The following is a 20,663-nucleotide window of genomic DNA, read 5'->3' on the forward strand; positions in this document are numbered from 1 at the left end:
CCATCCTGCTCACTTAAGTGCTCAATGACCACCCTCTCACTGCACTATGCCTCAGTGACTGCCCCAAGTGCATTTTACTTTGCAAGTTTTTGCATCATTTCACTGAGGTCACTTTTTTTTGTCTTTTGAAATGCTATTTTTTCTTTCACAAATCTTAGACAATTCAGGGGACAGAAATTATCTCTGTGTTTTTCCCTCAATACCAGCATCTGATTGGCTGACCAGCAATATGTCTCCAAGAAATGGAAGCTGGGTTGAGTAAAGGCAATCTTCATGTCTCAAAGGCTTAGTTTTTCTTTTTTTGAGATGGAGTTTCACTCTTGGTGCCCAGGCTGGAATCCAATGGTGCGATCTCGGCTCTCAGCCTCCAAAATAGCTCGGATTACAGGCAGCCACCACCACGCCCAGCTAATTTTTTTGTATTTAGTAGAGATGGGGTTTCACCATGTTAGTCAGGCTGGTCGCGAACTCCTGACCTCAGGTGATCCACCGCCTCAGACTCCCAAAGTGCTGGGATTACAGGTGTGCACCACCGTGCACGCAAGGGTTAGTTTTTCAAAGGAAGAGCGCAGGGGAGAGTCCTATCAGTCCAAGGGCATTCATCTGTTTCCATTGAGAGGCTACACTCCATACCTCAGGTTGTTTTATGAAAGAAAATAACCCAGTAGATTATATTCACTAGACACTCGAGCAGACATAGCCATGGTAGATATATTGGTTTATTCACAGAAACTACTGAAGCCCAGGACCAGAAAAAACTGAAGGTGGCTGAGGCCACATCACCCATAAAGTTTCCAAAGGGAAACCTTGACCCAAAAATATTCTGATACTATCTCTGTGCCTAGAGAAGATTTTTAAAAATGAGGCGAAAAGATTTTTTACAATACAGTATCAGGGAATTGTTCTTCTTTTTCTTCTCATAAAAAATATTTTCAAACAGAAAACGATTTTTTTAAGTGCCATTCAATGTCAAAAAATGCTTAGTTAAAATACAGTATCTAAAGTGTACAATAAAAGACAAATAGTTGATAATGTGAATTAGAAAGGGGAAGCTGGCATTTGAGAATGTGAGAAGAAACTGGAAATTTAGTATTTTACTGCAAGTCATAGTTAGTCTGGAGGAATGGGATGAGGGGTAGGCTTGAGACCCAGCTTGAGAGAACTGTGAAAAATGCAGGGGAAAATCAGTCTCCTGTGGAGTGTGAAAATAACTAAGTAGCAGGCAATTAGACGGAGGTTACTCTAGTCCCTGGGTTCCTATTTTTTAAAAACTCTAACTCAAATGCATTTTTTTGCAAATTACTGAATTGAGGGAAACAAAAATTTAGGCTTAACCAATCATAAACTGCCAATTAACCTCTGATTACATAACCAGGAAATGTCCACCTTAATTGTACAAGTCAAGTAACTATGAACTGTACCTAACCAATTATTTAATTTGGTTTTCTTCATCATGTACCTTTAAAAGTCTTTCCTTCAAGCTGCTCTCATAAAGTCACAAGCTCCAAACCACAGCTGAATGCTCCACAATTTTTGAATCACTCTTTGATTAAATTCTCCAATATTTTTGTGGTGATCCCCATAATTTATTTATTTATTTAACTTATTTATTTATATATTTTTTAAGACGGAGTTTCGGTCTTGTTAACCAGGCTGGAGTGCAATGGCGTCATCTCGGCTCACTGCAACCGCCACCTCCCGGGTTCAAGCGGTTCTCCTGCCTCAGCCTTCTGAGTATCTGGGATTACAGGCATGTGCCACCACGCCCGGCTAATTTTGTATTTTTAGTAGAAACGGGGTTTCACCATGTTGGTCAGGCTGGTCTTGAACTCCTGACCTCAGGTGATCCACCCACCTCGGTCTCCCAAAGTGCTGGTATTACTGACCTGAGCCACCGCGCCCGGCCCTCCCATAAAATTTTAATAGGAGAAAACAGGAACTGGGAACCCCACGGACCAAAACTCTTCCCATTAATGAACCCGCACCCTGAGTCAGGATTCTCCGGTGACGGCCCTCCTGTGGTCCCTGCACAATCTGAGAGAAATGCGGCGCTGCGGGTACAGAGCTGCCCAGAGAGGGCTACAGGCCAGGGCACAGTCACTAGGCAGAGAAGAGACGGGATGCCCCGGGGCTGGCTGTCAGCGCGCCGCCATCTTATGGCTGCAGGGGACTGAGCCGAGCTGGGGAAGGAGAACTCGGGGTGCAGATTGTGGAGCTGACTGCGGGGAGGCCTGAGTCCCGCCATAGCCATTTCCCACGGGTTCCAACCAGCCCCTTCCCCCTCTCGGGATGTCGCACCCGTAACTCTCACCATTTCTAGGCTTCCAGGGGGTCCTGGAGTCTTAGCTGTGGATCTCTCAATTTCTGCAGGTCACAGGCCCACAGAGGCTGGACCTCTAGGAGCAGAGGACACAGAGCAATGAAAGCGAGACCTGGAGCTCCGGCTGCAGCGAGAGACAAAGGCGCCGCCAAATCCCGGAAGCCATCTTGTCTGCTCCAGCTGCGTGCCTGATTGGACGGTTCCCAGCCCAGCGTGCCTGATTGGACAACGTTTAAGGTCCTGACCCTTCAGGCCCTGAGTGACAGAAGATGTGATCAGACACTGGGCTGAGTGAAGACTGATAGCCTGCGCTGCAGCCTTTTCAGCCGGGGCTTCCTCTTTTAGCTGAGCCAGGCCCATCCCATAGGGTATTTGTATTTAACCTTGTGTATAAGGTCATATACATTTATAAATGATATATGGCTACTCACAAAGAAAAATAATATAATAATAATTATTTTAGAATTTCAGACTTTATGACCTTCCTGGCTTCTGGTCCTTTGAGTAGGCAGCCTGAGAATTTTAAAAAGAGGCAATCCTCAAATAAAATGTGAGCCACATGTGAATTTTAAATTTTCTAGTAGTCAAACTTTAAAAAGAAAAAAACAAGTGGAATTGATTGTAACAATCTAACCCAATATATCCAAAGTACTATCATTTTAGTATGAGAGCAATATGAAATTATTGATGAAATACACATATATATGTATATATGTGTATACACACACACACACACACACACACACACACACACATATATGGAACTAAATCTTTGAAAATAACTCTATTTTACCTAACACATTGCAATTCAGACCAGCCACATTCCAGGCACCCAGTAGCCACACGTGGCCAATAGCTGCCACATTAAAATGCAGCTCTGATGTCAGGGGGGTGAAGAAGAGCCTGAACATCCCTTTTTTGCCAGAGGTGAGGGGACAGCCTCTCTCTACCAACATCTCTCTTCAATTCCAAGGAAAAAACAGTTAGTGACCATAGAAAGAACAGAGGACAGATAGAATAAAATAACCACAGGTCGACCTGTGGTTACCTCTGGTTATTTTATTAACTACTGCTGCCCACCTGTTGCTCACCTTAATTCCAAACATCAGACAGTGAACAAAGAATGATGAAGCCACAAAACAAGAAAACTCTGTATCTTCAGATCTGTCCACAGTCTTAACCTCCAATGTTTAGATATGGAGAAAATAGATTAAAGGCAAACTTATTTTGCTATTTGGCCTTGGCCCTAACGGTCAGCCTGTGGTTATCTGTTTTCTCCTGTGGTGTGGTGAACTGTGTGAGTATAAGCACCAATCACACGCAGACATGTCTACATGTATTTTTGCATTATTCAATATTCTCTTACAAGACATAAGACTTTAAGTCAAGAATAAAGGTAATGTGAGTCTTTTTTCTTGCATTGGCGCTACCCACAGGGTGCATCATGACATATTGCTAAGTTCTGCATTCAGGTTATGTGGCTCTCTTCTTTTACCCAGGCCCAGAATATTTTGCACAATAGAACATATTACTAGGCCCAACATATATAAAATGGGAGGCCCTTGCCTGAGCCTTTTTTACAGAGGGCCTTGTGACATATCTCTGCATCAATCACCTAAGAGATGCAACTGTCCATTTTTCCCTGCACTCTGCCCACAGGAAAAATTGTGACTTATCATTAAGCCTAGGTAGCAGGTGATGTGTCTCTCCTGCCTGGGCCTTGAGCCACAGAAAGCATTGTTACCTATTGCTGGGCTCAGCACCCAGGTGATGTGACTCTGCTGCCTGTGTCCTGCTGTCAGGAGAAGGTTGTAACATATTCCTATTTAGGTGATGTGACACTCCTGTCTGGTCCCTGCCCTCAGAAAATATTGTGACATATTCCTGGCCCAAGTATGAGAGTCAACATGTCCTTCGGGAACACTTCAGGACCTTTAACCTTGGGTACATCATCTCACAATTCAGAAGGGCCCTTCCAAACTCAGGAATGAGCAAGTGGCTGTTGGCTGTCTAGGTTCTCCATGAGTTCACATTTATTACTGAATTTATGTCTGCTTAAATATCAGGTTTGTTTCTTCAATTTAGGTGTATAACACTGATAACTGAGGGGTAATCATAGGTAATCTGACTTGAATCACAAAGTTTATTCAAATGGCATATCTAAAAAATTTTAGTACTGGTTTATTTAACACAAAAATGTGTCAGAGGCCAGGCGCAGTGGCTGATGCCTATAATCCCAGCACATTGGGAAGCCAAGGAGGGCAGATCACGAGGTCAAGAGATCAAGACCATCCTGGCCAACATGGCAAAACCCCGACTCTATTAAAAATACAAAAATTAGTTGGGTGTGGTGGCACATGCCTGCAGTCCCAGCTACTCGGGAGGCTGAGGCAGGAAAATCGCTTGAACTGGAGAGGCGGAGGTTGCAGTGAGCTGAGATCACGCCACTGAGACTCCAGCCTGGTGACAGAGCATGACTCTGTCTCAAAAAAAAAAAAAAAAAGTGGCAGAGTATTTTCCTGATGTTCAACTATTTTTGTTTTTCCTGAATTAGCAGTTTTATGAATCAGTGTGTTCTTTAGAATTCTCACAATCCTTACCCAGTCCAAACAATATAATTTTAAAATTATCAGAAACCTGTACTCAACTTGTCTGGGCTATTTTCATCTTTTCATGAATCTCCTTACAGACACAGTACTCTAGGATTTTGCATGTTTTTGAAGTTTGTAGAAACTACATCAGAATTAAACCATTAACTGTAGAAATGACTTCAAATAATTATAAAGAAACAAATGAAACAAACTTATTATGTCTGTGACCTGCAATAACTTATCATAACCATAATTATGACTAATAGCTTATACTCAGATATATAAGATTTTTAGAAATTTCATAATATTATGAAATAAATGTTAATATATATTAAAATAGAAGTTGAAGAAGATCAAACATTATCTTTAATTCAACAATGCTTTTCATGTAATTTAACATATCAAATAATTACGTTTTTTACTCTTTTGGATGTTGCATAGACCCTCTGTAGCATCCAAAAGTTAGGGGTCTAGGCCGTGCCCAGTGGCTCACACCTGTAATCCCAGCACTTAGGGAGGCCAAGGCAGGTGGATCACCTGAGGTCAGGAGTTTGAGACCAGCCTGGCCAACTTGGTGAAACCCTGTCTCTACTAAAAATACAAAAAATTAGCTAGGCGTGGTGGCAAGCCGCTGTAATCCCAGCTACTTGGGAGGCTGAGGCAGGAGAATTGCTTGAACCTGGGAGGTGAAGGTTGCAGTGAGCCGAGATCATGCCATTGCACTCCAGCCTGGGTGAAAGAGTGAGATGCTGTCTCAATAAAAAAGAAAAAAAAAGTTAGGGGTCTAATAATACATAAAATTTGTGTTCAAGAGAAAATTGTTATACTTTTTAATTAGTGTATTATCAATGGTAAAGCTAATTTTAATAAAACCTTACAAGTAAATTCATCAAATTTGTCATTTTTGGCCAATCTAGATTTCCATAAATATGTTATAATCTCTCATAATCATTTAAACTTTTTATATTTTATTTTTATCTACTATTTTATTTTTTCAATTTGACACAACCATTAAGTAATTTCAAACTACACTAAATGTTTCTAACTTCCTTCATCAAAAGCATTTTTTGCTTTCGTTTCTACACTCTATGCAGAATTGTTTTTCGTACATCTAATTGATTTAATTATATATAAATCACATTAACTCTTTTTTTTTAAGATGGAGTCTAGCTCTGTCACCCAGGCTGGAGTGCAATGGCGGGATCTCAGCTCACTGCAACCTCTGCCTCCTAAGTTCAAGCAATTCTCCTGGCTCAGCCTCCAGAGTAGCTGGGACTACAGGCGCATGCCACTATGCCTGGCTAATTTTTGTATTGTTAGTAGAGATGGGGTTTCACCGTGTTAGCCAGGATGGTCTCAATCTCCTGATCTCATAATCCTCCCGCCTCAGCCTCCCAAAGTGCTGGGATTACAGACATGAGCCACAGTGCCTGGCCTCATTAACTCTTAACAACCTTTTAGTGAAATTCCTAGGAAGCAATTTTGAACTGTTTCAGTATTTGTAGACAAAATTTATTTTATATTTTAAATAAATATTTTTTAAATTTTTTTAAAATAACAAATCTAAATATATTTAGCTTTTTTATATTACATAAAAATAAGATTCTGATCAGGCATGGTGTCTCATGCTTGTAATTCCAGCACTTTGGGAGACCAAGACAGGAAGGCTGTTTAAGCCCAAGAATTCAAGTCCAGCTGGGGCAACATGGCAAAATCCCATGTCTACAAAAAATACAAGAATTAGCTGGGCATGGTTGCCTGCACCTGTAATACCAGCTATTCAGGAGGCTGAGGTAGGAGGACTGCCTGAGTCCAGAAAGTTGAGGCTGCAGTGATCCATGATGAGGCTATTGCACCCCATCCTAAGTAATAGAGTGAGAACCTTTCTTTAAAAAAGGCCAAAGCACATGAACTTAATGTTATGGGGTTTTTTTTGGTTTATTATTATTATTTTAATAGTTTTGGGGGTACAGGTTATGTTTGGTTACATGGATAAGTTGTTTAGTCGTAATTTCTGAGATTTGGGTGCACCCATCTCCTGAGTAGTGTACACTGTATCCAATGTGTAGTCTTTCATCTCTCACCCACCTCCTGCCCTTCCACCTGAGTCCCCAGAGTTCTGTGTATAATTCTTATGCCTTTGCATAAGAGCTTAGCTCCCACTATTTGGTTTTTCATTTCTGAGTTACTTCACTTAGAATAATTGTCTCCAACTCCATCCAGGTTGCTTCAAATGCCAATATTTTGTTCCTTTCTTGACTGAGTAGTATTTCATTGTTTGTGTGCGTTTGTGTGTGTGTGTGTGTGTGTGTGTGTGTGTGTATATATATATAGTGATATATATGCGTGTATATATATAATGTGAAATATATATATATATATATATATATATATATATATATATGCACACATATATATCACATTTCTTTATCCACTCATTGGTTGATACGAATTTAGGCTGGTTCTGTATTTTTACAATTGCAAATTATGCTGCTGCAAACGTGTGTGCATGTGTCTTTTTAATATAATGATTTCTTTTTGTGTGTGTAGATACCCAGCAGTGGGACTGCTGGATCAAATGATAGTTCTATCTTTAGTTTTTTGGGTTTTTTTTTTTTTTTGAGACAGATTCTCACTCTGTCACCCAGCTGGGGTGCAGTGGCACGATCTTGGCTCACTGCAACCTCTGCCACCCGGGTTCAAGGGATTCTCCTGCCTCAGCCTCCCAAGTAGCTGGGATTACAGGCGCCTGCCACCACGCCCGGCTAATTTTTTCTGTATGTTTAGTAGAGACGGGGTTTCACCATCTTGGCCAGGCTGGTCTTGAACTCCTGACCTCCTGATCCACCTGCCTCCGCCTCCCAAAATGCTGGGATTACAGGCGTGAGCCACCCCTCCCAGCCCTACCTTTAGTTCTTTAAAAAATCTTCATACTGTTTTTCTCTAGTGGTTGTACTAGTTTACATTCCCACCAGCAGTGTAAAAGTGCTTTTGTTTCACCACATTTCTGTCAACAGCTAGTATTTTTAAATTTTTTAATTAAGACCATTCTTGTAGTGTGGGGAAAAGCAAGAGAGATCAGATTGTTACTGTGTCTGTGTAGAAAGAAGTAGACATAGGAGACTCCATTTTGTTCTGTACTAAGAAAAATTCTTCTGCCTTGAGATTCTGTTAATCTATGACCTTACTCCCAACCCCGTGCTCTCTGAAACATGTGCTGTGTCAAACTCAGGGTTAAATGGATTAAGCGTTGTGCAAGATGTGTTTTGTTAAACAGATGCTTGAAGGCAGCATGCTCCTTAAGAGTCATCACCACTCCCTAATCTCAAGTACCCAGGGACACAAAAACTGCGGAAGGCCGCAGGGACCTCTGCCTAGGAAAGCCAGGTATTGTCCAAGGTTTCTCCCCATGTGACAGTCTGAAATTTGGCCTCCTGGGAAGGGAAAGACCTGACCGTCCCCCAGCCCGAGGAAGGCATCTGTCTCCTGCCCGTCCCTGGGCAATGGAATGTCTTGGTATAAAACCCGATTGCACGTTCCATCTACTGAGATGGGGAAAAACTGCCTTAGGGCTGGAGGTGGGACAGGCGGGCAGCAATACTGCTTTGTAAAGCATTGAGATGTTTATGTGTATGCATATCTAAAAGCACAGCACTTGATTCTTTACCTTGTCTATGAATGCAAAGACCTTTGTTCACGTGTTTGTCTGCTGACCCTCTCCCCACTATTGTCTTGTGACCCTGACACATCCCCCTCTCAGAGAAACACCCACGAATGATCAATAAATACTAAGGGAACTCAGAAGCTGGCGGGATCCTCCATATGCTGAACGCTGGTTCCCTGGGTCCCCTTATTTCTTTCTCTATACTTTGTCTCTGTGTCTTTTTCTTTTCCAAGTCTCTCGTTCCACCTAACAAGAAACACCCACAGGTGTGGAGGGGCAACCCACCCCTTCATTGTAGGAGTAAGGTGGTATCACATTGTGGTTTTGATTTGCATTTCCCTGATAGCTAGTGATGTTTAGCATGTTTTTATATGTTTTTTGGCCATTTGTATATCTCCTTTTGAGAATTGTTTATTCATGTTTTTAGCTTACTGTTTCATGGGATTTTTTTTTTCTGATTCTTTTGAGTTCCTTGTAGATTCAGAATATTTGTCTTTTGTTGGATGAATAGACTGTGAAGATTTTCTCCCACTTGGCGGCTTGTAAGTTTACTTTGCTGATTATTTCTATTGTGGTCAAGAAGGTTTCTGGTTTAATTAAGTCCCATTTATTTTTCTTTGTTTTTGTTTTATTTGCTTTTGGGTTCTTGGTCATGCACTATTTGCCTAAGCCAATGTCTAGAACAGTTTTTCTGATGTTAGCTTCTACAATGTTTACAGTTTCAAGTTTTAGATGTAAATATTTTCTCCATATTGAGTTAATTTTTGTATAAGATAAGAGATGAAGATTCAGTTTTATTCTTCCACATGTGGTTTGCCAATTATCCCAGCAGCATTTGTTGAATAGGGTGTCCTTTTCCTACCTTACATATTTATTTACTTTCTCAAAGATCAGTTGGCTGCAAGTATTTGGCTTTATTTCTGAGTTCACTATTCTGTTCTATTTGTCTGTGTGTCTACTTTCATACCAGTAGCATGTTGTTTTGGTAACTATAGCCTGGTAGTATAGTTTGAAGTTAGGTAATGTGATGCCTCTGATTTTTTACTTTTTGCTTAGTCTTGCTTTGGCTATGTGGGCTTTTTTTAGGCTCTATATGAATTTTAGGATTTCTTTTCCTAATTCTGTGAAGAACGATGGTGGCATTTTGACAAAAACTGACTTGTAGAATGCTTTCGTCAGTATGGTCATTTTTACAATATTGACACTACCTATCCATGAGCATGGGATATGTTTCCATTTGTTTGTGATATCTATGGTTTCTTTAAGCAGTGTTTTGTAATTTTCTTTGTAGATGTATTTCACCTCCTTGGTTAGGTATATTTCTAATTATTTTATTTTTTTGCAGGTTTTTGCAACGAGTTGAGTTCTTGATTCGATTTTCAGCTTGGTAGCTGTTGGTGTATAGCAGTGGTGCCGATTTGTATACATTGATTTTGTATTCTGAAAGTTTACTGAATGTATTCATTAGATCTAGAAGCTTTTTAATAAATCTCTAGGGTTTTCTAGGTATAAAATCATGAATTCAGAAAACAGTGACAGCTTGACTTCCTCTTTACAGATTTGAATGCAATTTATTTATTTATTTTTATTGTCTAATTGCTCCAGCTAGGATTTCCAGCACTATGTTGAATAGAAGTGATGTAAGTGACCATTCTTGTCTTGTTCCAGTTGTCAGGAAGAAAGTTTTAATTTTTCCTCATTCAGTATAATGTTGGCCATGGATTTGTCACAGATGGCTTTTATTACCTTAAGGTATGTACCCCCGTGCCGATTTTGCTGAGAGTTTCAATCATAAAAAGATGCTGGATTTTAAATATGTTTTTCTCGTCTGAGTGTGGTGGCTTATGTGTGTAATCCTGGCAGCTTGGGAGGCCAAGACTGGTGGGTTGCCCGAGCTCAGGAGTTCAAGACTAGCCTGGGCAACATGGTGAAACTCTTTCTTTACCAAAATACAAAAAATTAGCTGAGTGTAGTGGCGCACACCTGTACTTTTAATTTTAGCTACTTGGGAGGCCGAGGCATGAGAATCTCTTGAACCCGGGAGGCAGAAGTTTCAGTGAGCCAAGATCATGTCACTGCACTGCAGTGCAGGTGACAGAGATTTCATCTGAAGGAAAAACAAATGTTATTCTGCATCTGTTGAGATGATCATATGGTTTTTGTTTTTAATTCTGCTTATGTGAGGTATCACATTTGTTGACTTACGTATGTTAAACCACCCCTACATCCCTGGTATAAAATGCACCTGATCATGGTGTATTATTATTTGATATGCTGTTGTATTTGGTTAGCTAGTATTTTGTTAAGAATTTTTGCATCTATGTTCATCAGGAATATTAGTGTGTAGTTTTGTGCTATGTTCTTTCCTGGTTTTGGTATTAGGGTGATACTGGCTTCATGGAATGATTTAGGAAAGATATCCTCTTTCTCTATTTTTGAAATAGTTTTATTTAGGTTGGTACCAATTCTTCCTTAAATGCCTCATAGAATTCAGCTGTGAATCCATCTGGTCCTGGACTTTTTTTTTTTTTTTTGGAAATTTTTTATTACTGTTTCAATCTCACTACTTGTTATTGGTCTATGCAGAGTTTCTACTTCTTTCTGGTTTAATCAAAGAGGGTTGTACATTTCCAGGAATTTATCCAGCTCCTCTAGGTTTCCTAGTTTGTGCATGTAAAAGTATTCATAGTAGCCATGAATTATCTTTTGTATTTCTGTGGTACTGGTTGTAATATCTCACATTTTGTTTCTAATTGAGCTTATTTAGATGTTCTTTCTTCTTTTCTTGGTTAATCTCACTAATGGTCTATTAATTTTGGTTATCTTTTAAAAAACAAATTTTTGTTTCATTTGTCTTTTGTGCTATTTAAAATTTCAATTATGTTAATTCTTCTCTGATTATTGTTTGTTTTTTTGTTTGTTTGTTTGTTTTTGTTTTTTGCTGGGTTGGGGTTTGGTTTGTTCTTGTTTCTCTAGTTCCCTGAGGTGTGAGGTTAGATTTTCAATTTGTGCCCTTTCAGACTTTTTGATGTAGGCATTTAATGCTATGAACTTTCCTCTTAGCACCACTTCCGCTGTATTCCAGAGGTTTTGATAGGTTGTGCCACTACTATTGTTTAGTTATAAAAAAATTTAAATTTCCATCTTGACTTCATTGCTGACACAACAATTATTCAAGAGCAGGTTATGTAATTTCCATGCATTTGCATGGTTTTGAGGATTTATTTTGGAGTTGATTTCCAATTTTATTCCAATGTGGCCTGAGAGAATACTTGACATAATTTTGATTTTCTTAAATTTGGTGAGACTTGTTTTGTAGCCTAATTATATGGTCTATTTTGGATAATGTTTTATGTGCTAATAAATAGAATGTATATTCTTCAGTTGTTGAGTAGAATGTTTTGTAAATATCTGTTAAGTCAATTTATTCTAGAGTATAGTTTAAATTCACTGTATCTTAGTTGACTTTCTGTCTAGATGACCTTTCTAGTATTGTCAGTGGGGTATTAAAGTACCCCATTATTATTTTGTTGCTCTCTATCTCCTTTCTTATGCCTAGCAGAAATTGTTTTATAAATTTGGGAGCTCCAGTGTTAGGTGCATATGGATTTAGAATTGTGATGTCTTCCTGTTTGGACTAGTTCTTTTACTATTATATAATGTTATTCTTTGTTTTTTTGTTTTGTTTTGTTTTTTACCATTGTTGCTTTAAAGTCTGTTTTGTCTGCTATGAGAATAGCTACTCCTCCTTACTTTTTGTTTCCATTTGCATAGAATATCTTTTTCCATTTCTTTGCCTTAAGTTTATTTGAGTTTTTATTTGTTAGGCAAGTCTCTTAAAGACAGCAGATACTTGGTTGGTAATTTTTTTTCTTCTTTTGAGATGGAGTGTCACTCTTGTTGCCCAGGCTGGAGTGCAGTGGCACGATCTTGGCTCACTGCAACCTTTGCCTCTCAGGTTCAAGCAATTCTCCTGCCTCAGCCCCCTGAGTAGCTGGGATTACAGGCGCACGCCACCATACCTGGCTAATTTTTCTATTTTAGTAGAGATGGGGTTTCACCGTGGTAGCCAGGCTGGTTTCGGACTCCTGATCTCAGGTGAACCACCCACCTCGGCCTCCCAAAATGCTGGGATTACAGGCGTGAGCCACCGTGCCTAGCCATAAATTTTTATTTATTCTGCCATTCTGCATCTTTTAAGTAGAGCATTTAGGTTATTGACATTTAATGTTAGTTTTGAGATGTGAGGTACTGCTGTATTCATCAGGTTAGCTGTTGCCTGCATATCTTTGAGTTTTTTTGTTATTGTTTTATAGGCCTTGTGAGACTTATGCATTAAGGAGGTACTATTTTGGTGTATTTTGAGGTTTTGTTTCAAGATTTAGAAGTTCTTTTAGCATTTCTTCTATTGCTGGCTTGGTACTGGTAAATCCTCTCAACACTTGTTTTTCTGAAAATGACTTTATCTCTCCTTCATTTATGAAGCTTACCCTCACTGGATACAACATTCTTGGCTAAAAATTGTGTTGTTTACGGAGGCTAAAGACAGGACTCCAGTCCCTTCTTTCTTGTAGGGTTTCTGCTGAGTAAACTGTGTTAATCTGGTAAGTTTTGTTTATAGGGTACCTAATGCTTTTCCTCACAGCTCTTATGATTCTTTTCTTCATCATGAATTTAGATAACCTAATGACTACATGAATAGGTGATGATCTTTTTGTGATAAATTTTCCAAGTGTTTTTTGAGCTTCTTGTGTTTGGATGTCTAGATCATTAGCAAGACCTGAGAATTTTTTCTCAATTATTCACTCAAATAAAATTTCCAAACATGTAAATTTATCTTTTTGTTTTTTTCAGGACCACCAATTACTCCTAGGTTTGGTCATTTAACATAATCCCAATTTTCTTAGAGGCTTTGTTCATTTTGTTGATTCTTTCTTCTTTGTCTTTGCCAGACTGATTTAATCTGAAAGACTTTTCTTCAAGCTCTGAAGTTCTTTCTTCAACTTGTTGTAGTCTATTGTTTAAACTTTCCAGTTTATTTTGTATTTCTGTAAGTGTGTCTTTCATTTCCAGAAGTGGTGATTGTTTTTTAATTTATAGTATTTATTCCTTTGGAAATTTTTAAATTCATATCTTGTATTAATTTTTTAAATTTCTTTAAGCTGGTTTTCTTGTTCCTCTGGTTTCTCTAGTAGCTTAATAATCAACTTTCTCAATTTATTTTCTGGCAACTCAGACAGTTCTTCTTGGTTTAGAATGATTATAGAAGAGCTAGTGCAATATTCTGGGGTTGTTATAGAACCTTGTTTTGTCATATTGGAATTACTTCTCTGGTTTCTTCTCATTTGGCTAGACTATTTCAGTGGAAAGATCTTGGACTCAAAGGCTCCTGTTCAGATTCTTCTGTCCCATGTAGTGATTTCTTGATGTGGTGCTTTCTCACTTTTCCTAGGGATGGGCTTTCTGCAAGTCAGACTACAGTGATTGTTATTGTTCTTCTGGGACTAGTAAACCAGTGGAGCTCTACAGCTCCAGGCTGATATTGAGGAATGTCTACAAAGTGTCCTGTGATGTAATCTGTCTTCAGGTCTCTCAGCCATGAATACCAGCACCTGCTTCAGTGGAGGTGGCAGGGAAGTGAAGTTGACTGTGTGAGAGACCTTGGTTGTAGTTTTATTTAGTGCATTGGTTTTCTCAATTGCTTGTTATGCAAGCAGTGAATTTGTCATGTGGACAGACTCAGGACCTCTGGTTAGCCAGGATGTTACAGGTGGTGGAATTAGTTTTTCTTTTTTTTTTTCTTTGGAGCAGGGCTGTTCTGTTACGAGTCGCTGTTATGGCTTGTGTCAGTTGGCCTCCAGCCAAAAGGTGGTGCTTTCAGGAGAACACCAGCTGTGGTAGTAGAAAGGGGGTATAGACTTGCCCTAGTTAACCAGGATACCCGTTCAGGATTCTCAGGTGATGGGTGGGACCATAGATCTTCCAAAAGTTAATTTATTTTGCCTTCGGCTACCAGGTTGAGTAGAGAAAAATCATCAGGCAGAGGCAGGATTAGACCGGTCTGAGCTCAGACTCTCAGGGGGTGTGGCTTGCTGCAGCCACTGTTGGAGGAGAGGTGGTTCTCAAGCCAATGGAGTTATGTTTTAAGGGAGGTTATGGCTGCCTTTGCTGCTTCATACAGAGCACCAAGAAAAGCGAGAAAAAGCTGGCAGTGGCAGGCCTCACCCAGCTCCCATGCAGCCAGCAAGGCCTGTCTCATTCCATTCCCACCCTGTCCTGCCAAAAGCATGGAGTTTATATCAAGGCAGCCAGCGTGCAGAGTTGAGATCTTGCCCCAGGCTACATGCCTATCCCTGAGAAAGTCAGAAAGGCTTTCAGGCTTCACCCCTCCCCACCTGCCCACACACTTAGCTGCACAGCTTCTGTGCTTATATCTGCACTTCCTATTCACTTCTGCAGACTCTGCGCAGTAAAATTTATGCTTGGTCAAAATTATTGCACAGTTCACTAAAAGCTTTTTTAATTTTTTTGGCCCCTCCCTAATTCTGCTGGCTGCCTTTCACAAAGACCCTTGTGAGATAAAGTCAGGTATGACTCTTTTGGTCATGAGCTGGGGACTGGGAATGCCTATGGGCTCTTTCCCTGGCTGCTTCTTTTATATTTCACTCAGCTCCCTAAATTCATTTCAGCTCTAGGTAAGGTTAAATACATTTCCTTTGATCTGGATTTTTCAGGTCCCCCTGTGGGGATGTGTGTTCAAAGGTAGACTTTCTTTCTCTTACACTTTGGGGAACTCACAGTTCTTCAGCTGTGTCACAGAGTTTGCAGTAACAAGCTGCTTTTTTCAAAGGGTCTGTGAAATCTTTTGTTTTTTCTTGGTATGTTCCTGCAGTGGTTATGTCAGAGGCGTTCGAAACAGAGCAACTCCATTTTGAGTGAGGGCTACAAAAATGAGGCTGAGACGTCGGGCGCGGTGGCTCAGGCCTGTAATCCCAGCACTTTAAGAGGCTGAGGCGGGCGGATCACGAGGTCTGGAGATCAAGACCATCCTGGCTAACACGGTGAAACCCCGTCTCTACTAAAAATACCAAAAAATAGCCGGGCATGGTGTCGGGCGTCTGTAGTCCCAGCTACTCGGGAGGCTGAGGCAGGGGAATGGCGTGACCCGGGAGGCGGAGCTTGCAGTGAGCCGAGATTGCGCCACTGCACGCCAGCCTGGGCGACAGAGCCAGACTCCGTCTCAAAAAAAAAAAAAAAAAAAAAAAAGAGGCTTAGGCTTGCTGGGCTGTATGCCCAGAAAATTAGGCATTCCTAGCCTCTAAATGTTTATGGTTAAGGGAACAAATTAATAATGTTTACCAAACAGACTCAGACTTGGGTGTGTCCAGATATCCTGACATCTGGAGAACAAAGGCATTCCTAATTTTGCTTTAAAGATAATAATATCGATTCTCACAAAATATAGTAAGAAAATTAATTATGTATTACAAACCCTTGTAGCAGAACACATCTCCCCACATATACAAGCATTGTACCTAGGGGGATGCATTCTTCTCTTACTTTCAGGAACGTCCTGTTTTGTCTATGGACTAGCTGTCCTTTCACCACTTTACTTTCTTAATAAACTTGCTTTTGCTTTGCACTGCGGACTTGCCCTAAATTCTTTCTTGCGTGAGATCCAAGAACCCTCTGTTGGGGTCTGGATCGGGACCCCTTTCCTGTAACATGTTTCTGGTGACCACAGAAGGGACTATAGTGCAGAAACCCTGACCCAATGGCTACCTTTGCCTAAGTGTTGAGGTCCTGTAACATCTTTCTGGTGAACCACGGAAGGGACGATACTAAAGAAACCCTCCAACCCAAAGGAAATAGGCTGCAGCACTGATTGGATGACTTTGGGTAAGTGGTGGGGTACCCGGTTAAAGAATAGGATTGGGTTAGAGGCCCCTCTTAATAAAAGGAAAGAATGCTTGACTGACCCCGACGTCAGACGCCTGATTTAGGAGAGTTAGAGTCCCTTCTAAGGTTTAGGGACCTCTTGGTAAAGTCCCTCTCAGCTGAAAACGGGCTTGGCACTGCAGGCTATGCTCTTTGTATTAATCTGCCTTCTCCTTGCTGCATGAATCAATTTCTTGGGTGCTGTCTCTGTTTCATTGTCATGATTTTATTTTATTTTATTTTTTAGATGTGTCTCACTCTGCTGCCCAGTCTGGAGTGCAGTGGCGCGATCTCGGCTCACTGCAACCTCCACTTCCAGATTCAAGCAGTTCTACTGCCTCAGCCTCTCAAGTAGCTGAGACTACAGGCGCTTGCCACCATGCCCGGCTGATTTTTGTATTTTTAGTAGAGGTGGGGTTTCACCATGTTGGCCAGGCTGGTCTCAAACTCCTGGTTTCAGATGATCCGCCGGCCTCGGCCTCCCAAAGTGCTGGGATTACAGGTGTGAGCCACCGAGCCCGGTCTTCACTGTCATTTTCAGGAAACTTTAACTGATCTTAGGGATGTTAACTTATTCTTTTTCTGTGTGCCTCCTGATTTCCGTCCGTTTGCTTGTGAAACATTGGGAACAAAAAGCATTGAAGGCTCCGTCTCCAAAATGGCTAATTGAGATTTAGTATTTAACAGCTATGAGCAATAAAATTACATAGATGTGGTTTTGCTTTGTTGCTGCTATAGTGACTAGGCGTGATCGAGAAGCACTAGGATGGAAATCAGGGAACTTTTCTCCTTGCTGTTTTGTTTCACTTTGCACACTAAAAATACAATTCTTTCCTTTCTTGGATTCAGGCAAACTGGCTCTGCTTGTTTAATCCACACTGTCGCTATTGCCCAGAACCTGCTTGCTCTGGTCATTCCCATCTAAATCTTCTTCATTTCCTTTGCCTTATTCGACATTTTTGTCAAAGTCCATTTGTGGTTTAAGATTCATGGCTTGGCCAGGCGCAGTGGCTCACGCCTGTAATCCCAGCACTTTGGGAGGCCAAGGCAGGCGGATCACGAAGTCAGGAGATCGAGACCATCCTAGCTAACACGGTGAAACCCCACCTCTACTAAAAATACAAAAAATTAGCTGGGCGTGGTGGCGGGCGCCTGTAGTCCCAGCTACTCGGGAGGCTGAGGCAGGAGAATGGCGTAAACCCGGGAGGCGGAGCTTGCAGTGAGCCCAGATCGCACCATTGCATTCCAGCCTGGGTGACAGCGAGACTCCGTCTCAAAAAAAAAAAACATAAAATAAAATAAAATAAGATTCATGGCTTGGCTCACTTATGTTAGTTGGATAATGTGAAACATGTTTGATGAGAGAAAAAGAAGAAAAAGAGCTAGACATGCAAGATGATCCTTTAATGCAAGCCCCCCCCCCGCCCCCGCCCCCGCCCCTGGTTCAGCGTGCAGTTTTGAGTGGAGCAGACCCTTCTGTCACCTCTAAAGGTTCAGATGTGTCGGTCCTTTCTTCCTCTAGCCCACCTGAAAGTTCTGTTGATAATCCTTCATCTCCTCTTCCTTACCGGACTAGTCCCTCTCTACACCCACCACTCCCTGAGGAACTGAGCCCAACGAGTACTACTCTAGTGGAGCTGCCTATCAACCTCCAAAGGGAAATCTGTCCACTTACAGAGGTGGCAAATGGGGAAGAAGGCACTGTGAGAGGACATGTCCCCTTTTCTATGTCTGATTTGGCTCTATGTAAAGAGAAGTTTGGTCATTTCTCTGAAGATCCAGGAAAATTCCTAGATGAGTTTGAGAAATTAACTCTGACCTATAGTTTAACTGGACAGGATCTGCACATTTTGTTGTCTCTGTGTTGTACAGTAAAAGAGAATGCATTTTGGTGACAGCTAGGGCGCATGCAGATGAGGTATTGTCTTGAAACCTGAACCATAATATATATCAGGCAGGAGGTTCAGCAGTTCAAGATCAAGATCCACAGTGGAACTATCAAAGAGGCAGTGAGGACTTGGGGTGGAGAGAGAATATGGTCACTTATTTTTTGAAAGGGATGAAGAAATGTATGAAAAAGCCTGTTGTGGGAGGCCGAGGCAGGCAGATCACAAGGTCAGGAGATCGAGACCAGTCTGGCTAAGATGGTGACACCCCGTCTCTACTAAAAATACAAAAAATTAGCTGGGCGTAGTTGTGGGCACCTGTAGTCCCAGCTACTTGGGAGGCCAAGGCAGGAGAATGGCGTGAACCCGGGAAGTGGAGCTTGCAGTGAGCCAAGATCGTGCCACTGCACTCCAGCCTGGGCAACAGAGCGAGACTCTGTCTCAAAAAAAAAAAAAAAAGAAAAGAAAAAGAAAAAGTCTGTTGACTATAAAAAGGTTAAGGAAGTTTCTGAGGGCAAAGATGAGAATCCAACTTTGTTCAAGGGCGTTTAGTTGAAGAAATCGGGATATATACTAACATTGATCCTGCCTCAAGGGAAAGATGAACCATTCTGGGAGTACATTTTATAACCCAGTCTGCCCCTGATATCCATAGAAACCTATTAAAAGCAGCTGTGAGTCCCCAAACTTCTAAGGAACAGCTGTGGATATAGAATTTTTAGTTTTTAATAACAGGGACAAAGCAGAGGAAGCAGAAAGTGCAAGAAGGACCTCCCACAAGCACGGCTCTTGGCTGCAGCCTTAAGCTCACATCAAACATGGGATTGCCTCCTGGCTCTTGGCCTGAACAAGGGAAGCTGAAAGGTGGGAAGCCCAAAGCTGGGCATCTGAGTCACCATGCTTTGGGCATAAATCAGTGTGCACATTGTAAGAAAACTGGCCATTGGAAAAGGGATTACCCAGCATTCTGAAGGGAGCCATCAGCACCCAAACCCATGATGGCTGAAATAGCCAGGCAAGCCCAAGAGCGATGGGACTGAGACCTTCAGCCACAGCTCCTGTTGGACAACTAACTATATCTATGGAGGAGCCTTGGGTAACCCTTGATGTGGCAGGTAAGAATATTACATTCCTTCTGGAATGCTAACTCTGTTTTGACCCACCATGTTTTACCTATCCTTTAAGCTGCTCTTCAGACTTTGAATGCCCCACCCCTTGTTGGGAAGGGATCTGTTAATTCAGAATAAATATCAGTGATATGGTTTGGCTGTGTCCCCATCAAAATCACAACTTGAATTGTATCTTCCAGAATTCCCACATGTTGTGAGAGGGACCCAGTGAGAGGTAATTAAATAATGGGGACCAGTCTTTCCTGTGCTATTCTTGTGGTAGTGATTAAACCTCACCATATCTGATGGGTTTATCAGGGGTTTCTGCGTTTGCTTCTTCCTCATTTTTCTCTTGCTGCCACCACGTAAGAAGTGCCTTTCACCTTCCACCATGATTCTGAGGTCTCCCCAGCCATGTGGAACTGTAAGTCCACTTAAAACTCTTTTTATTGCCAGTTTCAGGTATGCCTTTATCAGCAGCATGACAATGAACTAATACAGTAAATTGGTACCAGTAGAGTGGGGCACTGCTAAAAGGATACCCAAAAATGTGGAAGAAGCTTTGGAACTGGGTAACAGGCAGAGGTTGAAACAGTTTGGATGGCTCAGAAGAAGAGAGGAAAGTGTGATAAAGTTTGTAACTTCCTAGAGACTTGTTGAATGGCTTTGCCCAAAATGCTGATAGTGATATGGACAATAAGGTCCAGGCTGAGGTGGCCTCAGATGGGGATGAGGAACTTGTTGGGAACTGGAGTAAAGGTGACTCTTGTTATGTTTTAGCAAAGAGGCTGGTGGTATTTTGCCCCTGCCCTAGAGATTTGTGAAACTTTGAACTTCAGAAAGATGATTTAGAGTATCTGGCAGAAGAAATTTCTAAGCAGAAAAGCATTCAAGGGGTGACTTGGGTGCTGTTAAAGGCATTCAGTTTTACAAGGGAAGCAGAGCATAAAAGTTTGGAAAATTTGCAGCCTGACTATGCAATAGAAAAGAAAAACCCATTTTCTGGGGAGAAATACAAGCTGGCTGCAGAAATTTGCATAAGTAGCAAGGAGCCTAATGTAAATCCCCAAGACCATGGGGAAAATGTCTCCAGGCCATGTCACAGACCTTCATGGCAGCCCTTCCCATCAGATGCCTGGAGGTCCAGGAGCAAAA

The 20,663-nt window shown here is 41.3% G+C and overlaps 1 protein-coding gene across 1 annotated transcript in view, besides 3 other annotated features; it reads right to left on the bottom strand.

The window, feature by feature from the left end:
* The window catches only part of ZNF675 (zinc finger protein 675), a 34,412-nt gene extending 31,919 nt beyond the window's left edge, over positions 1-2,493 (bottom strand). The window contains exon 1 of the mRNA NM_138330.3: positions 2,312-2,493. Within this exon, the coding sequence (NP_612203.2) occupies positions 2,312-2,314 (3 nt within the window). The 5' untranslated portion in view covers positions 2,315-2,493. The remainder of the gene's footprint in view (positions 1-2,311) is intronic.
* Positions 929-1,899: an enhancer, noted in NCBI's record as "NANOG-H3K27ac hESC enhancer chr19:23868450-23869420 (GRCh37/hg19 assembly coordinates)". NCBI's record gives its function as "activates a minimal SCP1, AML or CMV promoter by ChIP-STARR-seq in naive H9 embryonic stem cells {active_cell/tissue: H9 hESC(naive)}" and the evidence as "EXISTENCE:reporter gene assay evidence [ECO:0000049][PMID:30033119]".
* Positions 2,031-2,420: an enhancer, noted in NCBI's record as "active region_14393". NCBI's record gives its function as "activates an Ori minimal core promoter by ATAC-STARR-seq in GM12878 lymphoblastoid cells {active_cell/tissue: GM12878}" and the evidence as "EXISTENCE:reporter gene assay evidence [ECO:0000049][PMID:35858748]".
* Positions 2,711-2,760: an enhancer, noted in NCBI's record as "active region_14394". NCBI's record gives its function as "activates an Ori minimal core promoter by ATAC-STARR-seq in GM12878 lymphoblastoid cells {active_cell/tissue: GM12878}" and the evidence as "EXISTENCE:reporter gene assay evidence [ECO:0000049][PMID:35858748]".

This window comes from Homo sapiens, chromosome 19, assembly GCF_000001405.40.
Source record: "Homo sapiens chromosome 19, GRCh38.p14 Primary Assembly".
Taxonomy (NCBI): Eukaryota; Metazoa; Chordata; class Mammalia; order Primates; family Hominidae; genus Homo; species Homo sapiens.